This window comes from Homo sapiens, chromosome 2, assembly GCF_000001405.40.
Source record: "Homo sapiens chromosome 2, GRCh38.p14 Primary Assembly".
NCBI lineage: Eukaryota > Metazoa > Chordata > Mammalia > Primates > Hominidae > Homo > Homo sapiens.
In genome coordinates, this window is record NC_000002.12 from 109,898,432 (window position 1) to 109,925,990 (window position 27,559).

Genomic DNA, 27,559 nt, shown 5'->3' on the forward strand with positions numbered 1-27,559 from the left:
GTTTATAGCATAGTCCACTGGGACTGCCGCTCTGACAAAGACTGTGTCACTACTTTGTGGAATGTTATTTTAGAACTTCCAGAATGCCTCAGTAAATCCTGACTGCCATGTAACTGTGTACTGTGCTGCTGAGCTCTTAACATGAAGCAGCAGCAGTGACCCTGGCGGGCCAGGCTGACGTGCGTGGGAACAGTGGGAGTGACCCTGGCTGGGAAGCAGGGAGGCCTGGATATTGTTTCTCCTGGCTCTGTGTCCTGCCATTCTCATCCCTGTGCTCAGAGCTCTCAAGCACCCACGATGGCCTTCTCAGGCCGAGCGCGCCCCTGCATTATCCCAGAGAACGAAGAAATCCCCCGAGCAGCCCTTAACACTGTCCACGAGGCCAATGGGACCGAGGACGAGAGGGCTGTTTCCAAACTGCAGCGCAGGCACAGTGACGTGAAAGTCTACAAGGAGTTCTGTGACTTTTATGCGAAATTGTGAGTGTCTCCTCTCCTGGAGTGCCCTCTTCCAGGTCCAGCGTTCTTGGCTGTCTGTTCAGGAGCCATCCTGAGCTGGCCCATACAATTTTATTGACTGGACTTTGGGTGGGAGTTTTCCAGGGTGGTAGGGCTCCGAGGGGCTCGCAGCGCAGCATGTTTAGGGAGACAGGAGACTGCCTTGTCGGTAAGACATGCAGCGACACGCAGATGGGAGGGAGGTGCTGCCCTCACTGTGAGAGCATGGCGGCCCCGTCTTCAGTAGGTTCCTGATCACTTGGTAACTAACTGCATTTTCATCATGTCGTCCGCAAGGGAGGCTTAGTGTTGTCATTGTCAGTAATTACGTTAGAAAAATTCTGCAGTCTAAAACGGCCCAAAGATAAGGGGCAGATGGGTTGGGACAGTGAAAAAAACAAATTACAGACTGTTGGTAAAGATAAATATTTTTGTTTTGTGTAATAATCAACAATTTGAAGTAAGCTAACTGGGTTTCTTAATTGAATGAATAAATATATATATCGTATAAGTAGCAGCTCAATACACATATAGAACATACTGTTAACTCTAAAAAGCTAGGCTAATTTATATTATTAAATAGGTTTTAGCAAACACATTTTTTTAAGAAAATGCAGAGTAGCCATCAGACCAGCTCAAGATTATTGACCTCATTCAAAGTTGTGAGCTTAGAATTACTGCGTATCCCAAATTTGTCAAGTAAGAGTTAATGAGAATTTAACTGACCCGGTTCTCTACTTCCATAATCCGTGCTCTGTGGTACAGATGTCACTTATCTTCACAACTCACAGAGAGCTCTGTTTGACAGTAACTGGGGAATTGTAATAATACAGTAACCAATATTTTGACTGCTTGGTGAACTCTCAAGAAGATTTTTGGATTTATACATTGCTGCATTTTAGGACCAAACAATTTGTTTTGCATACTTGAATAATGGAAAGCAAGATATCAGTTGTGCTGTGTGAGGTTGATTTGTGGAAGTGGATCAGCTTCATCAGTCATGCCTGGCCTGACTTTTACATATAAATATCTATCTATAGATAGATAGATAGATAGATAGATAGATAGATACTCCCCCACTTACATATTTCTTGTCATCAACACTTTTTAGTGAAAATCTTTTTCTAAAAAATTAGCTAATTAATTATAACTAATCTGATGGTAGCTATAACTGTCACTAATGACTTTTTTAAAGTAATTTCTGTCATCTGTAGTATTAAATATAAAATCAACATTTAAAAAAAAAACAACAACAGGCATTGTGCCAGAGGGTCAAAGGCAAAAGAGGAAAGGGAAGCCTGACTGGTTCAGGGGGCAGCAAGGTGATTGTTCTGTTTCCTTTTTCCCCCTGCTTGTGATGAAAAGGAATACTTCTTGCAAAATATATATTATATTACCTCTAAAACTAGCGGATTTTTCCTGTGTGTGGGAAGTAACTGTGTGCTTGTTTTTATGATGTATCTACCTATTTCCTAATTCTACTTGAGTATTTGAACTTAAGTAGAAACAATCTATATTATAATGAGTTTAAACTGGTCAGTGATAATCAAACGTTTTAATCTAAGGGCCTCTTAACACTCTTAAAAACTATTAAGGTTCCCAAAGGACTTTCATTTATCAGTATTTACCATATGAGAAATTGAAACTGGGAACAATTTAAAATACTTATTAATTCATTTAAAAACAACACTAAGCTTATTACGTGTTAATAATAGTAAATGTTAATATTAATGTTGTCATGAAAAATAACTGTTTTCCAAAATGGAAGAGGCTTAGAGGAAAGGATGGCATTGCGTTACATTTTTGCAAATCTTGTTAATAAAAGTTTCTCAGATTTGTTTCTGCATTCAACCTATTACAGTCTATTGTTTTAGATGAAATATATGAAGAAAACATGGCCTCCCACAGAGATGTAGTTGGAAAAGAGGACTTTTCTGCCTCCTGAAAGGGTCATGGTGACGCTGACATTTTGAAAACGACTGATTTAGGTGATAATGATCCAGGACATTCTAGAATATTCTTTTTGGGCTTTTTTAGAGTCCCATTAAGATTGTTGAGGTTTGGTGAATCTTTTGAGAGGGTTTAGAATTAACAACAGAGCCATATATTTGAGCAGCATCTTACGGTTTCCAAATAGCTTAAAATACTTTTTCCTCAGAACAATAATGAGAACAGCACTGAGAATGACCAGGCAGATGTGGAGCTTACCGTGCTCCTTCATCCAGGAATACCTGTGGACTTTGGTCAGAAAGAGGGAAGAAGCACAAACCCCTCCAGAGTTTTGTAAAACTGCCACAATCATCTGGCTTACGGCAAAGCTGGGCGATGATGAGAATTTTACAGATTTTTTCCCCAACCTACAGTAACTTTGAAATGACAAAATGGAAATTCATTTTAACATGAGGCTTGGGCCAGGTTTACTGAGCAGTGAAGGTGCTTCCCTTTCTCCCTTCCTTCCTTTTTTTTGTGACATTTTAATTCTGCATTCAAACCTGTTAAATAAAGTTGAGCTTTGACTGGTCTGAAGTGATGAACATGGTGTGTCTGCACGCAGTTATTTATGGCAAGGCTACAAAACAGGATGACTGTTTTGTGAAACATTTTGGGGAGAAAGGCAAAGGGAAAGTTGTCTTCCAGAGGTGTGGAGGGGAGTGAAGCAAGTAAGTGGAACCACTTTTGCTAAGGAAACAGCAAAACTTGGAAACCAATAGGGGCAAGGCAGTTAGTTACTCTGTTTATAGAATGGAGACTGTCTACCTGTCTGTCTCACTAGTTGGTTGTGAAAATTCAGGAGAACATTGGTAATAACTTCATGAAGTACATTGATTAAATATCTGGAAGGTCAGAAGCTGTACCAGGGAACTAGACACACAGGTGTAGAGCTCATGCTGTGGGTAGGCCTGTGAAAATAAACTTGCCAAAAATTGAAGGACCGCTTGGCATGGGGGACCTTCTCCATTTCTAGGACTTTTAAGAAATAAATAGGTCTTCACGTGAAATCCTCATCTAATTGTATGCCTGTCAAAGCCATGTTGCTTTTCTTTTCCTTTTTCTTTTTTGAAATGGAGTTTTGTTCTTGTTGTCCAGGCTGGAGTGCAGTGGCGAGATCTTGGCTCACTGCAACCTCCGCCTCCCAGGTTCAAGTGATTCTCCTGCCTCAGCCTCCCAAGTAGCTGGGACTACAGGCATGTGCCACCACACCCGGCTAATTTTGAATTTTTACTAGAGACGAGGTTTTACCATGTTGGTCAGGCTGGTCTCGAACTCCTGACCTCAAGTAATCCACTGTCCTCAGCCTCCCAAAGTCCTGGGATTACAGGCGTGAGCCACTGCAGCCATCTGCCATGTTGCTTTCCTTCTTCCAAACTGCACAGTGGTTAGAGCCTGAGATTATTTATTGAATGCCTTCTGTGTTTTAAGGTGTAGTGAGGCTACCGATGGGGGAATTTCCCACGTCACCAGCCGCAGCAGTGGTTACTTGACAACTTGGTGTCACTTTCCTAACCTATGAAACGTGGTGGTATCCCTGTCATGTCCTTTCAAGTGTTTGAAATTCGTGGTGTAATCTGTTTTGATTGACAGTGTGATTTTATGAGCAGGGGACCTGGATTTCTAGTCCTGCACCTTCCTTTAACTAATTAGCCTTGTGATGTTGGTCTGATCCTTCCATCTCTGTGAACCTGTTTTGCCATCTGTAAAATGATCTTTATTATGTAAAATTCTGTGATTTTAAGATACATTTTATAATATTGGTAATCAGGTTCGTCTTACCGATTAGGTAACAGGACTGGGGCATCTTGGCTGGTTTTAAGGCTACTTAAGCAGTTGTTTTCTACGGGATTTAATCAAAGGGATAACCCGTGTCTAGGTTATATGACATGGCATTTAGTTGACATGCATTTTAGATTCTGTTCTCAGAAGGGAAAGAAACTGGCCTTGAGATGTTGACTTTTGGATATTTTAATTAAGCTACTTATTAAGCTATAAACCCAATTCCTTGAGAGCAGCTTGTAACTTTCATCTCTGTCTCAGGTGCCTAACACATAGTAGGCACTCACTCATAGTATATTCAGCAAGAAGAATGCCAAAAATGTTAGAAACAGAATCAAAGTGGGACACCCTTACAGAGCCTCAGATGCTACGGTAAAGAGGCTGAAGTGTCCGAGTTCAGAGCATGTAAGGAACAAGCAAGAAATTGAGCTTTTTAGATAAAATAGGGTTTTTGTGATCAGATAGAATTTGCTGCTCGGTTCTTAGTGTTGTTTGATCTTCGATCTAAGAAGTGGCTGACGGTCTGCAACCTGCTGTTCTTTGCGTGTTACAGCAACATGGCCAACGCCCTGGCCAGCGCCACTTGCGAGCGCTGCAAGGGCGGCTTTGCGCCCGCTGAGACGATCGTGAACAGTAATGGGGAGCTGTACCATGAGCAGTGTTTCGTGTGCGCTCAGTGCTTCCAGCAGTTCCCAGAAGGACTCTTCTATGAGGTGAGTTGCACTGGACAAAAGCAGGGAGGTGCCATTCCCCACCCTCCCGCTTCCTGCCCTTCTTTCCTGAGGACTCCTCCTTCATGTTCAGTTTCATGATGAAAGACTGAAGTGCCACATGCATGCCAGGTATTTGATAGCTGTGAGGTCAGAGGTGGCATCTCTATGGCCCATATGGGCAGTGGCGTGATTGGGACACCCTCACAGACCCTGCATTTGTATTGCTCAGTTCATCGTCCTATTTCAGAACCCAGAGTCCCTTATGACAGAGCCTTTCAGACCTAAGCAGCTCAGCTCCACATAGAAAATTCTTTCCGAGTCTTCAGCCACACTCAGGCCCCCCACACACCTCACCCACTCCTGTCTCTGTGTCTTTCCCCCTTCTCAGAGGACCACTGGACCTGCTCTAAAGGAGAGCGTGCGGTGTACGTCACCCCCTCCACAACTTCCCAGCCTCGAGCCAGGAGCGTCCATGCATTTATTTTCTAAGGGAAAAAAAAATAAGTATTTTAGGGAACTATACTGTCTACATTTAGCTCTCCTGGGTGTCTATGTTCTTTTCTAAATATTTGTTTTTCTTGATCCTCGGGTGTTAGCATATGGTCTGCACTTCCTTTGTAGTGTATTTGGTATTCTCAACATTACCGAAACCACTTTCTTGTTGTTTTTTATTGTTTTGTTTTGTTTGAGACAAAGTCTCATTGTATAGCCCAGGCTAGAGTGTAGTGGCATGATTATAGCTCATTGCAGCCTTGAACTGCTAAGCTCAAGTGATCCTCCAGCCTCAGCCTCCTGAGTAGCTGGGGCTACAGGCACGTGCCACCATGCCCGACTAATTTTATTTTTCATAGAAACGGAGTCTCCCTATGTTGCCCAGGCTGGTCTCAAACTCCTGGGCTCAGGTGATCCTCGGCCTCCCAAAGTGCTAGGATTACACGCATGAACCTCCATGTCTGGCCCACTGAAACTCCTGTCTCACAGTAAACATGTATTTTGGGGGATAATCTAGAGATGCTGACCCCAGGCTATAAATGACGGTGAGAGTGAGGTGTATGTGTGTGTTAGATCAAATAGGTAATTTACTTTTACCACCTTACTTCTTACATATTTGTACGTAAATGCACATCTATATATGATAATATATGTATATAGAATTATTTTATAGCTGGAGATGGCTGCTCTTTGATTTCTTCTTTTGCCTAGCAGATTTTTATGTTTCCCTGTTATATAAACCATGCTTGAGCAAGGAAAGGTAGTTGACAAAGATCATTGGTAAGTCCATTGTATGCCACTCCGGCAGCATTTTCCCATAGAAACAAACATGAGAGTGGGGTTCCCAGGCCAGCCCACAGAAAAGCTGTTTACCCCATCATGGGTACATGAAATACAGGGCTAGCAAGTATGTAATAATGTCAACTTGGAAACAGCTTTAAGGGTTTGGGTTAAGGAATGCTATTTTATTCACTAGCACACATTTTTTTAAGCTCCTATTGTGTCCCCAAAACACACATTCCCAACAACAAAAACCTTAGCAGTGGAAAGAGGTTTTCGTTTTCTCTTTTCTTCTCGTTCTTTTTTTTTTTTTTTTAAGTTTATTTCTTTAGGCCTCCAAACATGCTCTATGTATCTTCTTACAGTTCTTCCTGTTCTTCCTGACTCCTTCCCTGGGCAGTGGGAATCTTTTGGACAAGGATGATGGATTTAGGGATGGGCAAATGACAGTTGTGAAGATGGACAGGAGCAGGAGAGGCCAATGTACCACAGCAGAAGAGGGCAGGAGAGGAGCTCCAGAGGTGTGAATGGAGGCATCAGGCATAGAGACCCCCTACCGAGGCTATAGGTAGACTGTGATTAGCTGGTGAGGAGAAGGAATAGGAAATCCCTAGGTGCTGCGGCAGCAAGAAGAGAGGGCATTTGCTGGTGGTAGTGGTGGTGAGCCATGACTCAATTCAGTTAAAGGGACCTGAGGACCTGCTTCTACCTCGGCACCGTGGAGGCCTGGTGGGACTATGGCAAGGAAGGAGGTGAGACTCCCAAGGCACATTGAAGGGAATTCTGGAAAGCTGGCTTGGAGAGAGCATGGTCTTCTCACTATATGAATTCCTTCTGTATCCCTCCCTTCTTTTTTTTTTCTCCTGTAGTCCAGAGAGGTTGAAATGTCTGATAACATAGCAGGTTTGCGACATGAAAGAGATGAGAACCTAGCTGGTCTCCTAGTATCCAATACAATATTCTTTCCCTTACATATTCTTTTTAAATATAAGATATTTTTATTGAAATGGGTGATTATGACAAAGGCCTTAGGAGAGCTCGGTCCAGGGGAGCAATAGAGAAGAACTCAGAGAAAAAGACAGGCTTTGTTTTCCCAAACATTTTCCTTATATCCCTGGCTTGCTCTTTCCCCTGTGAGCACCCTGGAGCTCCAGCCCTCCGTCACCTTCTTTCTCCCATTTTGCCTGTGACTTAGGAACGAACGTGATGGTTAAGCTACCTTCATTAAGCAGCATGACCGCTTCCTGAGCTCCTGCTGCCGCATTTAGGCCCTGTCAGCTGTGAGGCCACTGGTGCTGAGTCAGAGGGAAAAGCTCAGAACAGCCTTGAGCAGCGAAGAATAAAGCATGACTCATCTCGTCCTGCCCACCCCTCACACTGGACTATAAATACCCTCCCTGGGTCTGTGTGCTGTTATTCCAAAAGATGCGATGAATACCCAGAACTAGGCTATTCATGGGCTGTTGCCCAGTTCAAGCTCTATTGGGTCCTGAGGAAGATTACTATTTTGGCTACATTGTTTATCATTAAAACCAGCCCAGGGATGTGTAAACCTGCATCTGGAGAATAAGACATTTCTTTTTGGTTAAATGATATTAGAGAAAAAAAAAACTATCCAAGGCTGCTAACAAATAATCTTCACTTTCAATTATATCCAGCAATAAGTTGTTCTCCAGAAAAGAAAGCTTGGAAACTTACCCAGTTTGCCTTCCATTTGGGACATGACTGATGTGCTTCAGTCTTTGTATAATAAATGCATCTTCGCCACTCTATATCTTTGTTATTGCTTTTGTCTCGTTATCACAACAACTTCCTTCCCTGATTTCCACAGCCTCTATTTTTTCTTTTCTCTAGAAGACTAGTTAGGAAGACTTAGAGGTGGGGTCTGTGCACTCGCTTCCCCTTGAAAATGTGATTTACTTTTATGGTATAACTTTCTGGTACTTTGAATTAAATAGGACATTCTCTTCCCTTTGGCCACAGAGGCAAGTATAGAATGAGATCCTTGTTTCCTAACCACTTACCAGAACATATATCTGAAGAAATGAGCACCAGTATTTCTGTCTCAACTACAGTTTCTCTTTTTTTTTTCTTTCTTTTCTTTTTCTTAAAACAGGGTCTTACCGTGTTACCCAGGCTGGAGTGCAGTGGCACAATCATGGCTCACTGCAGCCTTGACTTCCTGGGCTCAAGCAATCCTCCCACCTCAGCCTCCCTAGTAGCTAGGACTACAGGCACACACCACCACAGCCAGATAATTAAAAAATTTTTTTTTGCAGAAACAGGGTCTTGCCCTGTTGCCCAGGCTGGTCTCGAACTCCTGAGCTCAAGTGATTAGATGCCATTTCCCCAGGGAAATACCCTTTCAACCCAGAGGCCCTAACGCTAACTATAGTGGTTCCTAAATCTTTGTGACATCCAGCATTATCTCCAGTAAAAGAAGTATTTTAATTTTTCCCATAAGAAAATACTTTTGGGAGTGGTGGAGCCAACAGTTACAAGAGTGATTTAAGTCCAGGAAGTACTGCAGAGTGGGATGGACTGAACCAAGGACTAGGGACCAGGTGTGCAGCTGATTAACCCTGACTTAGTACATGCTCAGGGCTGGGTTCTTTGTTGGTGCTTCACATTTCTCTCTCCTTAGTTTGGATTTCACAAATGTGTCCCTTTTTTCCCATCACAAAATGCATTAACAGGAAAGACCCATTTTTTTAATTTTTTATTTTTATTTTTATTTTTTTTGAGACAGAGTTTCACTCTTGTTGCCCAGGCTGGAGTGCAAATGCGTGATCTTGGCTCACTGCAACCTCTGCCTCACGGCCTCAAGTGCTTCTCCTGCCTCAGGCTCCCAAGTAGCTGGGATTACAGGCAGGCACCACCATGCCCAGCTAATTTTGTATTTTTAGTAGAGACGGGGTTTCTCCATGTTGGTCAGGCTGGTCTCAAACTCCCGACCTCAGGTGATCCGCTCACCTCGTCCTCCTAAAGTGCTGGGATTACAGGAGTGAGCCACTACGCCTGGCCAGGAAAGACCCGTTTATGATGAGTAGTCTTGTAGCAAGATGTTTTACAAAGAGGTTTCTTCACTCATTTACTCTGATTATTCAGGAAGGCAGAAACTGAAATGGAAGACCCTTCCAACCAGCACATCTGTTTATCTGTGGATCCACTCACTTCAAGGCAGTTTATGACAAACCAGTATAAAGTACCAAATGAAGATTTGCAACTTTGCACTTGACTGGAAATGAGACTTTCAGCTGGTTTCCCGTTCTGAGCTTACTTGAAAGCAGCTCAGAATAACTGTTTCTTCCCCTAAAGGGAATATTTACAGAACTCCAAAACTTAAAACAGTTAGAGCCATTCTTGGAGCTCATCTTCCCCCACACAAAGCAACCCATTTCCACAAGCGGTGGGACCCCAGGGTTCTTAAGGCATTTTGTTTATAAATACTACTAATTTGGACCATTAATATTTCTAACAGGCTTATCGTATTCATTGTTTAAATCAGTTTGGGGATGTAATGTGTAGTTACCTAGAAAGGCTATATTTATAGAAATTTAATTCTTCCCAATTTATGATTCTTGATTTTTAAAAAATTTTATATCGTAGTTTTACTTTGGATCAACTTCTGGCCTTTCTCTCAGGCTCAAAAGTTGAGCTATACTATGTTTGATCATTTCTACACACTGTAGAAAAGAGGCAGCTCATTATAGCAGAAGTTCTCCACCTGGAATTAACAATAGTTGTGACACTGGAGAAGCATAGCCCAGAGTGCAAGAGATTTGCAGGATGAATGGTGGCAAGGAAATCTATTTCTAAGTCCTCCTATTCTGGTTTTGAAGGACTCAATTTCTGGATCCTTTTCTCTTTGCCTGAAAACATATTTATATTCACAATAGTACTTCTCTCACATTGCAAAAGAAAGAAATCTCAAATCTTACTATCATTAATTGCTCCAGGATACCCATCAAAAAGGATTAGTTAGGGAGTGCTGAAACCCATAAGGCTTAGTCTTTCCCTGCCTTATGTATTTTCTCGTTAAGGAGAAGCTTGGCTTTAGGAACTGTGTTGGATATTCTGTATTCAGGTACAGATATGCACGCCCCTTAACCACAGGGAAATGTCTGAGAAAGGTGTCATTAGGCAAGATCATTGTTGTGCAAACATCAGAGAATGTATTTAACAAACCTAAATGTCATAGCCTACAACACATCTAGTCTATATGGTATGGCCTGTCCCTCCTAGGCTACAAACCTGTACAGCATGTTACTATACAGAATACTGCAGGCAGTTGTAACACAATGGTGAGTATTGTGTATCTAAAAGTATCCAAGCAGAAAAAGTACAGTAAATATACCATATACCATGGTAGTATATATGGTCCATTGTTGACAGAAATGTTATCTGGCAGATGACTGCATATGCTGAATTTAGAGACGTAGGCAGTAGTTACAACAGCTTTCCTTTTTAATTTATTTTTATTTTTTATTTATTTATTTTTTTTGAGACAGAGTTTCGCTCTGTCACCCAGGCTGGAGTGCAGTGGTGTGATCTTGGCTCACTGCAACCTCCGCCTCCTGGATTCAAGCGATTCTCCTGCCTCAGCCTCCTCAGTAGCTAGGAATCCAGGCGCATGCCACCACGTCTGGCTAATTTTTGTATTTTTAGTAGAGACAGGTTTCACCATGTTGGTCAGGCTGGTATCGAACTCCTGATCTCATTATCTGCCCACCTCGGCCTTCCAAAGTGCTGAGATTACAGGCATGAGCCACTGCACCCAGCCAACAGCTTTCCTTTTAGGACTTAGCCTTTTTCATCCCCTGACTAATTTCAGAAGAATTTATCCATTTTAAGGGAAAGCTCTGGGAGAGCAAAGCAAAGAGCGTTGGTAAGAAATTGTGAATGAGGTGGATAGAAAACACAAACCATTTTCCCTCTGCTTGCACACCACAACAATCAACACAAGTTCTTCTGTGACCAAACGTGTGGGAACTTTTCACCACACGCCAAGCAAGCAATCAGTTCTGCAGTGGACACCAGCTGGGCGTTCTCCAATTCAATTCCCACACTATCTACCTGGAGACCACAGATTGAGGGGCAGCGCCAGGACTGTCTTCTCCTTCTGATGCCAATTGAAAGCCCCAGATTGCTTCACCTGTCCTTCTGGCTGACATGCTCTGTAAATTGGGAATCCCACAGCCTCCTCTTCTGGTTCTATTAATTTGCTAGAGCAACTCACAGAGCTCAGGGAAACACTTTTACTGGTTTATTATTAGTATTATGTTTATTTGTTTGTTTTGAGACAAAGTCAAGCTCTGTCACCTAAACTGGAGTGCAGTGGAACAATCACAGTTCACTGCAGTCTCCATCTCGTGGACTCAGGCAGTCTTCCTGCCTCAGCCTCCCCAGTAGCTGGGACTATAGGCACATGCTACCATGCCTGGCTCTACCAGTTTATTCTAAACAATATTACCAGCCAGGCACGGTAGAGCACACCTGTAATCCTAGCACTTTGAGAGACTCAGGTGGGAGGATTGCTTGAAGCCAGGAGTTCAAGAGCAGCCTGGACAACATAGTGAGATCCTGTCTCTACAAAAAATAACAAAATTAGCCAGGCATGATGGCACACACAGTCCCAGCTACTTGGGAGGCTGAGGTGGGAAGATCATTTGAGCCTAGGAGTTGGAGGCTACAGTGAGCTATAATCATGCCACTGCACTCCAGCCTGAAAAAACAGGGCAAGACCGTTTCTGAAAAAAAAAAATAATAATAATAATAATAAAATAAATTTTTAAAAAGGATATTACAAAGGATACAGCTGAAGAGATACGTAGGGTGAGGTATACAGGGGAAGGTGTTCAGAGCTTCCACACCTTCTCTGGCTGCACCACCCTCTGGGAAACTACACTGTGTTCAGCTATCCAGAAGCTGTCTGCACCCTGTCCTTTTAAATTTTTACGGAGGCTTCATTATGTAGGCATGATGAATTAAACACTTGGCCACTGGTGATCAACTTAACCTTCAGCTCCTCTCTGCCTTTCCTGAAGGCTGGAGGGTGGGGCTGAAAACCCCAACCATCCGATTCTGCCTTGGTCTTTCTGGTAACCAGTCCCATCCTAAATCTACCTAGGGGCTGCCAGTCAGGAGGCACCTCATTAACATATACAGAGACATCACTTTTAAGATTCCAAGGATTTTAGGAGCTGTATGCCAAGAAACTGGGAGGAAGACCAAATATGTATTTCACAATGTCACAGTGAGGGTATGCCATGAGCTAGAACAAACAGACCAAAGCAGTATTGCTTTTTGACTCTTGGGAGGCCCTAGAGGTTAAGCAACTTGCCCAAGACCACACAATGAGTCTTTCAGCCAGATTTTGAACACAGGCAGTCTGGATCCATGGTCAGTGTTCTTGACTCCTACTTGTCTTGTTAAAAGATGTTTCCAAATTATAGTTAATCCTAATTTTATTTTATGTATACAGTGATTATATTTTCAACCTTCTAAAAAAAATTATATATATATATATACTACTGGGCTACTTTTTAGTGTTTTTATGCAATATACATCTTTCTCTTTCATTTAATACAGAATAAAAGTTGATCATTTCTATCTAAATTAATGGAGTTATTTATGAGTTTTTACACAGTCGTCTTATGGTATCCACAGAGGATTGGTTCCAGGACACCCCCTCCACCCCACTCCCACCTCACCCTCAGAGCTTACCAAAATCTTTGAATGCTCAAGTCCCTGATATAAAATGGTATACTTACTTGCATATAACCTATGCACATCCTCCTGTATATTTTTCATTATCTCTAGATTACTTACAATAGCTAATAAAATGTAAATGCTATGTACATAGTTGTTATACTGTGTTTTTAAATTTGTATTATTTTTATTTTTCTATTGGTTTTTTTTATTGTTTGGGGTTTTTTCTTCCACATTTTTTTTTATCCTTGGTTGATCAAATTCAAGGATGCAGACCCAGCAGATACAGAAGGCTGTTTTGTGGTCATTTTGTTTTTTTGTTTCTAATTGACATAATAATTACACACATGGGGCACAGTGTGATGTTTCAATACATGTATACATTGTGTAAAAATCAAATCAGGGTATTTAACGTATCCATCACCTTGTACATTTATAATTTCTTTGTCGTAAGAATATTCAAAATACCCCTTTTCTAGCTATTTTGAAATAGCTATTTTGAAATATTTTGAAATGCAATATATTATTAACCAAAGTCACTCTACTGTGCAATAGAACACTAGAACTTATTCGTCCTAACTGTAACTTGGTACCCATTGACCATCTTCTCCCCATCCCCTCCACTCCATTCTCCCCAGCCTCCAGCAACCTCTATTTTACTCTATTTCTATGAAATCAACCTCTTTAGATGCCACATATGAGTGAGATCATGTAGTATTTGTCCTTCTGTGCTTATTTCACTTAATGTAATGTCCTACAGGTTCATCCATGTCGCCACAGATGACAGGATCTCATTCTTTTTTACGGCCAAAGAGTACTCTGCTGGGTATATGTACCGTATTTTTTTAATCCATTCATCCGCTGATGGACAGTTAGATTGCTTCCAAATCTTGGCTATTGTGAATAGTGCTGCAGTAAACATGAGAGTGCAGATATCTCTTCCACATACTGATTCCATTTCCTTTGGATATATTCCCAGTAGTGAGATTGCTGGATCATATGGTAGTTCCATTAATTACTGCTAAAAGCTAAATATCAGATTTTTATACGTATAGGTGGCATACATTCATCAGAAATATATCACGCTTCATAAATACTTGTACTTTTGGCTGCACATTATAATGTAGTATGGCATAGTATTGAGTAATAGCATATCAATTTATTCTTTCTGTTTAAAAACCAAATACATTAATCTGGACAAGGTAGTGTGTGCCTGTAATCCCAGCTACTCAAGAGGCTGATGTAGAAGGACCACTTGAGCCCAAGTGTTCAAGACGAGCCTGAACAACATAGCAAGACCTAGTCTAAAAACAAAAAGATACATTAAATATACTACATCTTATTCATTTGAATTAAAAAGTGAAAGCTGGACATAGTAGCTCACACCTGTAATCCCAGCACTTTGGGAGGCCAAAGGTGGGAGGATCACTTGAGGTCAGGAGTTCGAGACCAGCCTGGCCAACATGGTGAAACCCCATCTCTACTAAAAATACAAAAATTAGCTGGACATGGTGGCGGGTGCTTGTAATCCCAGCTACTCAGGAGGCTGAGGCAGGAGAATTGCTTGAACCCAAGAGGCAGAGGTTACAGTGAGCCAAGATTGTACCACTGCACTCCAGACTGGGCAACAGAGCGGGACTGGGAAAAAAAAAAGTTATCTTTCTAGGAGAAAATCTGCTTTGGTTGGTTCAACAGTAAGAACTGACTTTGCCAGTTAAGCTGTGGTAGATATGTTCACTAAATTGGATGCACTAAATCTATAGCCATAATTTGAGGAAATTGAGTTGACAACTGATACATTAAAAATGGATATCATTAAAAATGGATTTTAATAATCAAACAGTGTATGACTTTTGGCATATAACTTGTAAGGAGCTCAAAGACTCAAGGGGAGACATTACTATAACATTTCTCACAAGTTAGTAATGTGAAAAGGGCTTCTTAGCATTTCTATATTAAAAAAAAAAGCAACACCCAAAATAGAAAATAGACCTAGAATTAATATTGAACCTGAGTCTTCTAGTGGAAAGCCATATTGATGCATGAGATACATGAAATAATTGTGGGAGGAAAGGGCAGCCCTACTCATTTCACTATCACTAAGATATGCTTTTCAAGTAAACAGATAGTATAAAAAAATTAATGTTTATGTCTTGCTTGTCCTATACTAATCATTCTAATGATAATACAGAAGAAAATAAATGTTAACCTTTACAGCCTTATGGATTCAGAAAGCACATTTTAAAATTTCATGTTATATATATTTTTTAATTGCAGAAAAGTATGATAGGGTGATCAGTTAAAGACAAGTACAAAAATATACTAGGATAAAATTGGAGCACATAAAATGAAAACATTCAAGAAATGAAAGATGTAAAAATCTTGGCTGTTAAGAGAATGTTTTTTAATGGATTTTGGTCATTTTAAAATGTGCTAAGGCTGAGCGTACTGGCTAACGCCTGTGGTCCCAGTGCTTTGAGAGACTGAGGTGGGAGGATTGCTTTGGGCCAGGAGTCCAAGAACTAGCCTAGGCAACATAGCAAGACTCCCATTTAAAAAAATAATAAAATACAATGTGCTAGAATATTTGCCCTTTGTAAATATTTGAGGTTACAGTGAGAATTACAGATATCGACCTGAAAAATGTGGGAGGAGAGTTGTATGTATGTGCATATTTTCTGGAGGGAGAGGTTATCCATAGCTTTCATCAGATTCATTAAAGGCAGGGTATTTGAGCCAGAAAACAATTCAGCACAGTCAGAGGCCAGGTCACCAGTCCCTGTAGGTGTACTGTTCACTCTAGCCTCTACTTATTCCGTATGTCTTTCCTGTACCAACATGTAGATGTATGGATGGTGCAAAAGAGTATCTGCTTTTTAAAATCCCAGTAGAGTTATAAATTCTTAGAGTAGAACTCTTAGTTTAGAAACATCTTTCCTGTATATCTTCATCAAATAATTATATTTCTCCTGTGATTGTTTCGTGTCTGTAAGTTGGTGGTACCCTCTCTTTCAGTTTGAAGGAAGAAAGTACTGTGAACATGACTTTCAGATGCTCTTTGCCCCTTGCTGTCATCAGTGTGGTAAGTTTTACTGCTAAATGTCAAGTAAAAAGTAAGTTTCCGGCCAGGCGCGGTGGCTCACACCTGTAATCCTAGCACTTTGGGAGGCGGAGGGAGGAGGATCACCTGAGGTCAGGAATTCGAGACCAGCCTGGCCAACGTAGGGAAACCCGGTCTCTACTAAAAATACAAAAATTAACTGGGCATGGTGGCAGGTGCCAGTAATCCCAGTTATTCAAGAGGCTGAGGCAGGAGAATCGCTTGAACCCAGGGGGCAGAGGTTGCAGTGAGCTGAGATTGCACCACTTCACTCCAGCCTGGGCAACAGCCAAACTCCATCTTGCGGGGAAAAAAAGTAAGTTTCCACATTACTTCAGTCATTTCACACTGGTGAAGTATCGATGGTAAAAATGGTTTTTAGTGCTCATTATGAATAACTGTTGGATACTTCATCACTCCTCTTCCCTATTGTTAACATAGAACAAGCTGGAGGAGTATCAAAACCTAGAGTTCATTGATTTTTAAGGACATTTAAGGTAGAGGTATTTTGGGATGAACTAGGACTCCTATCGGGTGGTGTTTGGGAGTGTTCTTTTCCTGTGTTAACACAACCTTTACCTACTTGCTTTTGGTTTTGCCCGGAAAGAGGCAGGGAAGAAATCAGTGAGGTGCTTCAGAAGCTTAGGGATGCTTAAACATTGCTTGCACGGCGCATAAGTGATGGACTTGCTTGCACGTTGGCCACTTCACTGGTTGCTAATACCTCTGCCAGGTTTCCAGAGATTGAAGAAACTGGGTAGAATGTTCTAAAGGTTTAATGAAAGAATAAATTAAGTATGGGTTATAAGAAACTGTGCTGTAGATTTCAGTTGTCTATGTTGACAATGACCAGAAATAACCAAAAGGCATTCAAGAGAGCCTAGTAGCTCATTTGGAAAGGAAAGCTAGATTCAGAGATGACACAAAACAGCCCAAAAATGTGGCTGCTGAATCAAAAACAAAAATTCGGATGAAATAAAAACTTTTTTGCTAATGTGCTTACTCTGGTAGACACATAAATAAAAAGTTCTTCTACTGGCCACGTGTGGTGGCTCACGCCTATAATCCTAGCACTTTGGGAGGCCAAGACGGGCGGATCACCTGAGGTCGGGAATTTGACCAACATGGAGAAACCCCATCTCTACTGAAAATACAAAATTAGCCGGGCGTGGTGGCAGGTGCCTGTAATCCCAGCTACTTGGGAGGCTGAGGCAGGAGAATCGCTTGAACCCGGGAGGCAGAGGTTGCAGTGAGTCGAGATGGTGCCATTGCACTCCAGCCTGGACAACAAGAGCGAAACTGTCTCCAAAAAAAAAAAAAGTTCCTCTATTGAGAAAGGCTTCAACGGTTTTTTTCCTCACTGTTTTTCCTTAATTGCTCTCTCAGTAAATAAAGTGCCATGCCTGTTACTTAGGATGTTACTTAGTAACATCCTTTGTGTGTTGCTTTCCCACAGGTGAATTCATCATTGGCCGAGTTATCAAAGCCATGAATAACAGCTGGCATCCGGAGTGCTTCCGCTGTGACCTCTGCCAGGAAGTTCTGGCAGATATCGGGTTTGTCAAGAATGCTGGGAGGTAGGTGGATTTTCATCCTTGTCAGATGTGGGTGGACAATGTGACTGTGACAAGATCATGTGTATTCTCCATGTGGGATGTAAGGCAGTTCTGTAGGACACTGAATTGAGGGCATGGGAACTCAGACACTGCAGTGTGTTGACTGAGTGCTGCTGCTGGGAGTGGACCCTTGTGTTGCTGTTCACAGGGCATAACTGCTCCATGCATGGCTGAACTACCAATGGGGGATGTACCTAGATGGAGTTTCTTAAAAATCAGTCATATTAGGGTTGGAACACATTTTTCATGTGGCTTGATTCTGCCCCGTGAAGCACAGGAGTGATTTTTTTAAGAAATGGTTTGTTTAATTTCTTTTCAGAGATAAGGGAAGCATATTTCTTTTTAACCATTAGAAAGAACCTAAAATTTTAAATTTAAGTTTTGACTCTGTTTAGACACCTGTGTCGCCCCTGTCATAATCGTGAGAAAGCCAGAGGCCTTGGGAAATACATCTGCCAGAAATGCCATGCTATCATCGATGAGCAGCCTCTGATATTCAAGAACGACCCCTACCATCCAGACCATTTCAACTGCGCCAACTGCGGGTACTGGAATTGTTTCTTTTTTATTACACAAGCAGTGGGAATGAAAGATTACATTTATCTATATTTCTGTTACTCTAGCAAACCAAATTGTTTTTCTCCCATTTTTAGTCTAGAAAATTTTAAACCTATAGAAGAGTCAGGAGAATGATATAATGAAACCTGTATACCCTTAATTTCATTTCACCAGTTGACATTTTGCCATGCTTGTGTGTATACAGTCCACATTCTCGTTTCACCCTCCTATGTATGTGTGCACATGTGCCTGTATACGCATACCTCTAAAATTTCTCATGACTCCCAGTATGCATCTCCTGAGAATAAGGGCATTTTCCTATGGAACCATGATACATTTTGTAAATTTTTTTTTTCCTTGAGACAGGGTCTCGCTCTATTGCCCAGGCTGAAGTGCAGTGGGCAATCATAGCTCACTGCAGCCTCACCCTCCTGGGCTCAAGCAGTCCCCCCACTTCAGCCTCCAGAGTAGCTGAGACCACAGGCACACACCACCCTTCCTAATTTTTTTAAATTTTTTGTAGAGATGGAGCCTTGCTGCGTTGCCCAGGCTGGTCTCAAACTCCTGGGCTCAAGCAATCTACTCATCTCGGCCTCCCAAAGTGCTGGGACTATAGGCATGAGCCACTGCACCTGGCCAGAACCACAATACTCTTATTATGCCTAAGAAAATTAGCAATAATCTTATAATATCAACTATCAGTCCATATTAAAAATATTCCCAGTAGCCCCAGAAATATTTGTCATCACTATGTTTTTCCAGTCGAAGATCTAAAAACAAAAAAAGGTCTTATCTCTGTACATGCATAACTTTTACAGTTGTAATAATTAGATATTATCTTAAAAGATGTTGTTATATTTATTTAATTTGGCTTGGTTTATATCTAAAAGAAATATATTTAATTTTTTGTCTTCAATAAGTTATGATAAATTGTTAGGCTATGAATTTTTCTCAGTTTGCCACCTAGTATAAAAATTTAGTGCATAAAGATTCTTGGCCGGGCGCAGTGGCTCATGCCTGTAATCCCAGCACTTTGGGAGGCTGAGGCGGGCAAATCACGAGGACAGGAGATCGAGACCATCCTGGCTAACACGGTGAAACCCCGTCTCTACTAAAAAATACAAAAAAAATTAGCCGGGCACGGTGGCGGGCGCCTATAGTCCCAGCTACTTGGGAGGCTGAGGCAGGAGAATGGCAGGAACCCGGGAGGTGGAGCTTGCAGTGAGCCGAGATCGCGTCACTGCACTCCAGCCTGGGAGACAGAGCGAGACTCCGTCTCAAAAAAAAATTAAAAAAATATTCTTTACTATAGTTAATGTGAACTTACTTGGTAAATTATAGTAGGGATGGAGAAGAAACAGTAGGCCAAATGCTAAGAAAACAGTTTGGGCCAGGTGCAGTGGCACACGCCTGTAATCCCAGCACTTTGGGAGGCCGAGGCGGGTGGATCATGAGGTCAGGAGATCGAGACCATCCTGGCTAACATGGTGAAACCCCATCTCTACTAAAAATAAAAAAATTAGCCAGGCGTGGTGGTGGGTGCCTGTAGTCCCAGCTACTCGGGAGGCTGAGGCAGGAGAATGGCGTGAACCTGGGAGGTGGAGCTTGCAGTGAGTGTGGATCGCGCCACTGCACTCCAGCCTGGGCAGCAAAGCAAGACTCGTCTCAAAAAAAAAAAAAAAAAAAGAAAGAAAGAAAACAGTTTGGTTGTATAAGTTCAGCCATCTCATCTTTTGTGATTGAATTATCAGTTTGTGCCTTATCTCGTTTTCTTGCCTGTCCTTCCTCTTGGGGATTCACCTCTGTCCACTTTTCATTAGCATCTCTCCTAGAGAATTACATAAAAGGGATGAAATTCAAACAAGTCCATTTGACTAATTGGGACCATCTCTGACCAAATGTTTATTGATGCAGGAGACTGAAAATAATATTTAATTTGAGTATTTGGAGAAGGAAAATTCTGGGCATTTTGTTGTTTATGAAAATAAACCTATTAACCTATAACTCTTTTCAACAGCTTGTGACAATTTAAATAATTGTTAGTAAATGGAACTAGTCTCCCAACTTCTCAGTTTGCTTGGAAAGGTCGTGTGTTAGTCTATTTTATGCGCCTGTAACAGAATACCACAAACTGGGTAATTTGTAACCAACAGAAGTTTATTTGGCTCATGGTTCTGGAGGCTGGGAAGTCCAAGATCAAGGGGCTGGCATCTGGTGAGGACCTTCTTCTGCATCATTACATAGCAGAGGGCATCACATGGTGGGGGAAGAGGAGGGGGGAAGGAAGAGAAGGAAGGAGGCTGAACTCATCCTTTTATAAGGAACCCACCCCCTCAGTAACAGTGTTAATCCATCTGTGAGGGCAGAGCCTTCATGATGTAATCACCCCTTAGAGGTCCTACCTCTCAACACCTCTGCATTGGGGATCATGAACTTTGGGGACACAGTCACACCATAGCAGGTAGTATTACTGAGTCTACCCTCAGCACTGTGATTATTCCCTGTAGCTTTTAAAGGAAGACAAATGGACTAAAATGGAATGTGATAATACAAGAAGGAAATTATGAATATGACTGGTGTGGTGGTATGTATCTGACCTAGTCTTGCATCTTATCCTTTTAAGATACAGATGTTTTGGTAGGAGTCTGAAACCTGTTCGGGCCTATTAATTCAGGTTATTCTGATCACCTCTAAAGGGGAAAAAAGAAATTTGCAGGGATTGTCATAGTAATATCTTTAAAAACCTTCTAAAAAGTGTGCTAGCCCCATCGGTTGGCCATTTTTCTCTCTTAGTATTAAGCTGGGTGTCTTTCTCACAGACAGGAAGGATCTGACTGCCGATGCACAGGAGCTGAAAGGGGAGCTATACTGCCTGCCATGCCATGATAAAATGGGGGTCCCCATCTGTGGCGCTTGCCGACGGCCCATCGAAGGGCGTGTGGTGAACGCCATGGGCAAGCAGTGGCATGTGGAGGTGAGTTCTAAATGGTAAAGGGTAACCAATCCTTTCAAATCTCCATGATTAAGGAGTAACCAATACTTTCAAATCTCCATGATTAAGGGGTAACCAATCCTTTCAAATCTCCATGATTCAGGGATAACCAGTACTTTCAAATCTTCATGATTCAGGTGTCCTGGCAAGATTAGGAGACTCTAAAGATTAAACGTGGACATTTTAAAGACAATTGACTTTGCTGACAGCTAAGAATATAGAAGGTACACTGCTTTTGTGAATGTCTCAGTAATGATACAAGATGTGCACTTTTGCTCCTAAAGCCTTCTTGAAGCAGGAAGTGCCATGGTCTGTATCCAGCAGCAGCTCCTCCTTTATAGGTGCTACTGAGATGCTCACCTCTATTCTCTTTTTGGGCTATTATAATAGGCTGTGTCTTAAAGTAACCTTCAAAGACAGACACCTGAATTACAACTGCAGAAGTATTATGTTATGGGGCCACCTATGGCCAAATGAAATGACTGTCTCAAACTTTCCTTCATCTTCTCTGAAAATAGGTTAACTCTGGTGTTTACTTTATTAGATATAAAATATGGCAATTCAAAAATGACCTATAGCAATTTTTTTTCAGCATTTTGTTTGTGCCAAGTGTGAGAAACCCTTTCTTGGACATCGCCATTATGAGAGGAAAGGCCTGGCGTATTGTGAAACTCACTATAACCAGGTATTGACCTTAGTCACTGGATGCTAGATAGACTTTTATGAACCTAAGCTTATCAGTAGTTTAGCTACAAGGAAATCTCTTGGAAGATGTACATTGTTCAGTAGAGATTTGTTTTTAACTTTTTATTTGGGAAATAATTTCAGACTCAGAAGCTAACTATAAAAATACAAAGAATACCTGTATGTCTTTCATTCAAGTCCACAGTTTGCTTTATCATTTCCCACGCTCAGTCTTCCTGTGTAAAACACATACTTACATAAATATTATATACAAGTACGATGGCTGTTTCTAAAGCATTTGCCAATAAGTTCATCATACTCCTTTACCCCTAAATACTTCAGTGTATATTTCCCAAGAATATGGGACTCTCTAACATAATTGTAGTTATCAATATTGATACCGTACTTTAACCCATTTATTCCAGTTTTATCACTTGAGTCAGTAATATCCTCACAGCATTTTTTCCACTCCCAGACTGGACCCAGCCTAGGGCTGTGATGTTTCTTTAGCTTTCTTAAATCTGGAACGTTTCCAGAGTCTTTTAAAATTTTTGATGACATTGACATTTTGGAGGGATGCAGAGGGCCCCTAACCCCTTTTTAATAGACTACTTTCCACTTGGGTTCACCTGGTGCTTCTCTGTGCTTAGATGAGGTTATACACAGCAGGTTGTGGCCTCATACAGTGGCAGGGCATCTTCTCAGAACCTTGCCCCTGGAGCATTTTATACCTCTCCTGCACTGGTGATCTCCCAGGCATGGTGCTGGCTGATAACATCACTGTGAATTACAATTTCCTTCCCTCCTCTGTAAGAAAGAAGCAATCTGTGGGCAATCATTCTATGACCATGGAAATGTCCTGTTCCTCATCAACCCGCCCTAGATTCAGCACCCCTTGATGATTCTTGTCTCTGCGCCAGCTGCAAACAATACTTCTCCAGCCCCATGCCCTCCACCCATAGTCTGGTCCTCAGCGCTCTGCCTGAGCAAGAACCCACCTCCTCTCCCGTCTATAGGTTTATTCATTTATCTATTTCTTATCCATATGGACTCACAGATTTCTATATTTTGCATCACTTATTTGGGTGTTCAAACTGTCATCCGGGAAGTTTTTCTTTTAATTGATGAGAGTGAATTACTTTCATTGTAAGAAGTAAAAACTTGTCAAAGAACTTTTACTAATTTTCTCTAGTAGTGATAAATCCTCAATTTAGATAGCCAGCTATTTTTAAATGTTCAGTGTTCTAAAAATTCTAACACATCTTGAACTTTGACCACCTTTTTTTATTTTCAGCTATTTGGTGATGTTTGCTTCCACTGCAATCGTGTTATAGAAGGTGATGGTAAGTATCTGTGTGAGTTTTAGATTGGTGCCACTTTGACACAAAAACACTTGGGGAATGTGGAAATTCAGGTTGGTGATTGCTATGGTTTGAAATGTGATCGTTATCAGTTACTTTTTCTCTATCTTTGGCGTATTTTCCAAGTAATCTGTAGCAGTAAGATGATAATATCAAAGAGTTGGATTTGTTACTGATTTATGACACTACTTTTGGCCACTGCTGTAGTGTTGTATGCCAGCAATCATGGGAACTGTCCCTGGTGGACCCTAAGACCTGTTTCTGTGTCCAGTTTCAGGAAGCTCTAGAACAACGTTTATTAGGAAGAGTTTAATCTGCTATCGTAGTTAGCAAGAGGCACTTTAACCTGCACATGCTAAAAGCTGGCAGTTATCAGCAAGCATATCTAGGACTTACCACCCTTGTACTGTGGTAATTAGGCTGGGCTGATTGATTGGAACAGAAAGGAAGCAGCTGTGTTTGCTAAGACTCGCTAACACACTTCTGCCAGAGACTTCCTGGCAAAGTTTTGAACGATACTGTTTTCAGCATGATTCATGGCTGCCTGCAGACATCACCTAATTCAGGAAATACTTTTGAAACTGTTCATGTGCAGTTTGTGAAAACAATCCAGGAAAACAATCTTTAGTGCCATTGAAAATAAAACTTACCTCCCTCCTCTGTGAAATAGATGCCAGGTGAAAGAAGCTGCAGAGGAAACTGTCTTGTTATCATCAGCTCTGGAAAAAAGACTCCTACAGAGGCAAATAAGTTAATGTCTGGATTTTTGAAAATTATTTACCTAGTTCATATTTCCTAGTTGGGCCAACAGCAGTAGGGACAGAAACAGCAAGCTCACCTAAACAACATGATGCATGGACAGTTGCCACATGTGCCCAGGCCAAGGGGGCACAGTTGCTGGTGTAAGACATGGCACACATCATTTATAACTTCACAGGATACTTAAGGATGGGGGAAGATTAAAGTCAGCCCTCCGTATCCAGGGGCTGGATCCAAACATCCGTGGATTCAACCAACTATGGATCAAAAATATTTAGAGAAAAATAACAATATAACAATACAAATAGTACAGTATAATGACTATTTACATATCATTTACATTGTACTAGGCATTATAATTAACCTAGAGATGATCTAAAGTATACGAGATGGGACCAGGCGCAGTGGCTCACACCTGTAATCCCAACACTTTGGGAGGCCGAGGCAGGCAGATCAACTGAGGTCAAGAGTTCAAGACCAGTCTGGCCAACATGGTGAAACCCCATCTCTACTAAAAATACAAAAAATTAGCTGGGTGTGGTGGTGCATGCCTATAATCCCAGCTACTCGGGAGGCTGAGGCAGGAGAATCACTTGAACCCGGGAGGCAGAGGTTGCTGTGAGCCAACATCACACCATTGCACTCCAGCCTGGGCGACAAGAGCAAAACTTCGTCTCAAAAATAAATAAATAAATGTATACAAGACAATGTACATAGGTTATATGCATTTTATATCAGGAACTTGAGCGTCTGAGATTTTGGTATCCTCACAGCATCCTAGAAATAGTATCCTGCACATATTGAGCAACAACTGTATACATAAAGGTTGAGGGCCGGGTGTGGTGGCTTACACCTGTAATCCCAGCACTTAAGGAGGCCGAGACAGGAGAATTTCTTGAGGCCAGGAGTTGGATACCAGCCTGGGCAACGTAGCAAGACCTCCATCTCTACAAAATAAAAATTAAAAATTAGCCAGATGTGGTAGCACACACCTATGGTCCCAGCTACACAGGAGAATGAGATGAGAAGATTGCTTGAGCCCAGGAGTTCGAGCTGTGATCGCACCACTGCAATACAGCCTGGACAACAGAGCGAGACCCTGTCTGAAAAACAAAAGAAAAGAAGCTCTCAAGAAAGAGGTTCTTGGCTGGGCATGGTGGCTCATGCCTATAATCTCAGCATTTTGGGAGACCGAGGCAGGCAGATTGCTTGAGCCCAGGAGTTCAAGTCCGGCCTGGGAAACATGGCAAGACCGTGTCTCTATAAAAAATACAAAAATTAGCCAGGTATAGGCTGGGCGCAGTGGCTCACACTTGTAATCCCAGCACTTTGGGAGGCCAAGACGGGCGGATCACAAGGTCAAGAGATCAAGACCATCTTGGCCAACATGGTGAAATCTCGTCTCTACTAAATACAAAAATTAGCTGGGCATGGTGGCACGCGCCTGTAGTCCCAGCTACTTGGGAAAATGAGGCAGGAGAATCGCTTGAACCCAGGAGGCGGAGGTTGCAGTGAGCTGTGATTGCGCCACTGCACTCCAGCCTGGCAACAGAGCGAGACTCTGTCTCAAAAAAAAAAAAAAAAAAAAATTAGCCAGGTATAGTGGCATGCACTGTAGTCCCAGCTACTCAGGAGGCTGAGGTGGGAGGATCACTTGAGCCTGGGAGGTTGGGGCTACAGTGAGCCAAGATTGTGCCACTGTACTCCAGCCTGGGCTATAGAGCAAGACCCTGTCTCATTTTTTAAAAAAAACGTTCTTGAGAACCTCCACCAAGTGCCACAGACACAGTCGTAGTTCTGTTTTAGAGTTGAAATTCTAAGCTGCCCTGCTCCCCATACTGATGTATTTCCATGTGACCAGATCTCTTTCCTCTTTCTCCAGTGGTCTCTGCTCTTAATAAGGCCTGGTGCGTGAACTGCTTTGCCTGTTCTACCTGCAACACTAAATTAACACTCAAGTAAGTGTACGGTTTTGTCCAGTGTGAATCCTAAGACTGAAAACTTTGGGGGGACACTGAAAAAAAATCCTAGAATTTAGAAAAAGAGAATTATTTGATTTCTTATTTCCTCTTTCTGTTCAGGCCTTCTGAAAGTAAAGGTTCTTCCTTTAACTGTTCCCTGTTCTTTCTTCTATTCCTTCTTTGTCCTACTCAAAGGGATAAGTTTGTTGAAATTGACCTAAAGCCAGTCTGCAAACACTGTTATGAGAAAATGCCAGAAGAATTTAAGAGGCGACTTGCCAAACGGGAGAGAGAAGCAAAGGATAAGGACAAGCAGAAAAAGAAAAAGCCAGTCTGTTTGTAAACTTTTCTATCCCTGTGTCATCATTTTCACTACTTTCTCCTTTGGTTAGTCCTTTGGAATATGTTTTTGTTCTGTTTCTGTCTTTTGCTTTCTTCCCCCCCTGCAACTTTTGGGCGTGTATTTGTAGTCATCAGAAATTTGGGCCAAGGGGAGCGGATCACGAGGTCAGGAGATCGAGACTATCCTGGCTAACACGGTGAAACCCCATCTCTACTAAAAATACAAAAAAAACATTAGCCAGGCGTGGTGGCGGTCGCCTGTAGTCCCAGCTCCTCAGGAGGCTGAGGCAGGAGAATGGCTTGAACCCAGGAGGCGGAGCTTGCAGTGAGCCGAGACCGCGCCGCTGCACTCCAGCCTGGGTGACAGAGCAAGACTCTGTCTCAAAAAAAAAAAAAAAAAAGTGTAAGTGGATTAAAAGAGAAACTTGGTCTAGTTCATAATATTTTTAATAGGGCTTTCCCTGGCTGCTGGAAAACTTAGGCCAGTAAGCATCTCTTTGTTTAAAGTCCTACAAGACAATTTGAAATAATTCATTGTTCATGCCAAAATTCTAAGTACTGTTTTTCTTAGCAAGTGTAACATAATCAGGAACAATGGGTACGAGTAAAACATTCTTTGGATGATATTCAGAGCCTTATTAGCACTGCATCTGAATAATAGGTCATTTTGCCTCACTCATTTGCCAAAGTAGCCATTTCTAAGTTAAGGAAGTTTTTAGATAGGCTCATAGCCTTGTATTTCGTTTTAGATTGTAAGCTCAATGGTAGGGATACTATATTGGTAATTATGTTTTCATATAGCAACCACCACAGTATATTCTTGGTGCTTAATAAATGTTTATAATTGTTAACAATAACCTGTTGTATATTGTTTAATTTGAATGGTATATATATGAAATACGTATGAAAATTGAAGTATTCATGAATATATAATAGAAACAAGTAAATGAATAAAATGACCTGGTTACTATAGATAAGCCAAATTTTGAACCATCTAGAACAATGGTGTAGTCTTCCCTCTACTCAATGTAAATGCTGGGTTTTTTAATTATTATTATTCTTAAGAAAGGAGATACAGGCCAGGCACAGTGGCTCACACCTGTAATCCCAGCACGTTGGGAGGCCGAGGCCAGTGGATCACTTGAGGTCAGGAGTTTGAGACCAGCCTGGCCAACACAGTGAAACCTCATCTCTATTAAAAATACAAAAATTAGTAGGGCGT

The 27,559-nt window shown here is 41.7% G+C and overlaps 1 protein-coding gene and 2 long non-coding RNA genes across 7 annotated transcripts in view; 2 read left to right on the top strand and 1 right to left on the bottom strand.

Annotated features, from left to right (window-relative positions):
* LIMS3-LOC440895 (LIMS3-LOC440895 readthrough) overlaps positions 1-27,559 on the top strand; it is a 70,143-nt gene continuing 42,584 nt past the window's right edge. Inside the window, exons 1-9 of the long non-coding RNA NR_027145.2 lie at positions 1-479; positions 4,822-4,981; positions 15,980-16,046; positions 17,521-17,641; positions 18,076-18,225; positions 21,058-21,212; positions 21,823-21,915; positions 23,209-23,257; positions 25,917-25,992. This is a non-coding gene — a long non-coding RNA (LIMS3-LOC440895 readthrough). The remainder of the gene's footprint in view (positions 480-4,821; positions 4,982-15,979; positions 16,047-17,520; positions 17,642-18,075; positions 18,226-21,057; positions 21,213-21,822; positions 21,916-23,208; positions 23,258-25,916; positions 25,993-27,559) is intronic.
* LIMS3 (LIM zinc finger domain containing 3) lies at positions 257-27,194 on the top strand. Of its 3 annotated transcripts, NM_001394901.1 has the most exons (10): positions 257-479; positions 4,822-4,981; positions 15,980-16,046; positions 17,521-17,641; positions 18,076-18,225; positions 21,062-21,212; positions 21,823-21,915; positions 23,209-23,257; positions 25,917-25,992; positions 26,191-27,194. In NM_001394901.1, the coding sequence occupies exons 1-10, from the start codon at positions 298-300 to the stop codon at positions 26,336-26,338; spliced, it is 1,197 nt and encodes a 398-aa protein (NP_001381830.1). In that variant the 5' UTR covers positions 257-297; the 3' UTR covers positions 26,339-27,194. The 3 variants fall into 3 exon arrangements, 2 of the variants coding, with proteins under 2 accessions (NP_001381830.1, NP_277049.1); NR_027467.3 differs by having other exon boundaries at positions 21,058-21,212; positions 25,917-27,194; NM_033514.5 differs by lacking the exons at positions 15,980-16,046; positions 17,521-17,641; positions 18,076-18,225; ... (3 more) ...; positions 25,917-25,992; positions 26,191-27,194 and adding an exon at positions 7,449-8,025.
* Positions 20,429-24,275, bottom strand: LOC105373547 (uncharacterized). 3 transcript variants are annotated; one of them, XR_923178.2, is made up of 4 exons: positions 23,926-24,275; positions 22,544-22,721; positions 22,093-22,150; positions 20,429-20,466 (listed from the first exon to the last, which is right to left on the bottom strand). It is a non-coding gene; the product is annotated as an uncharacterized LOC105373547 (long non-coding RNA). The 3 variants fall into 3 exon arrangements; XR_001739115.2 differs by having other exon boundaries at positions 22,093-22,721; XR_001739116.2 differs by lacking the exon at positions 20,429-20,466 and having other exon boundaries at positions 22,051-22,721; positions 23,926-24,009; positions 24,114-24,275.

Coding starts and splice junctions, on each gene's coding strand:
- LIMS3 (NM_001394901.1), top strand. CDS start 298: ATGGCCTTCTCAGGCCGAGCGCGCCCCTGCATTATCCCAGAGAACGAA. Junction 480..4,821: donor TGTGACTTTTATGCGAAATT/GTGAGTGTCTCC, acceptor TGCGTGTTACAG/CAACATGGCCAACGCCCTGG. Junction 25,993..26,190: donor AACACTAAATTAACACTCAA/GTAAGTGTACGG, acceptor TCCTACTCAAAG/GGATAAGTTTGTTGAAATTG.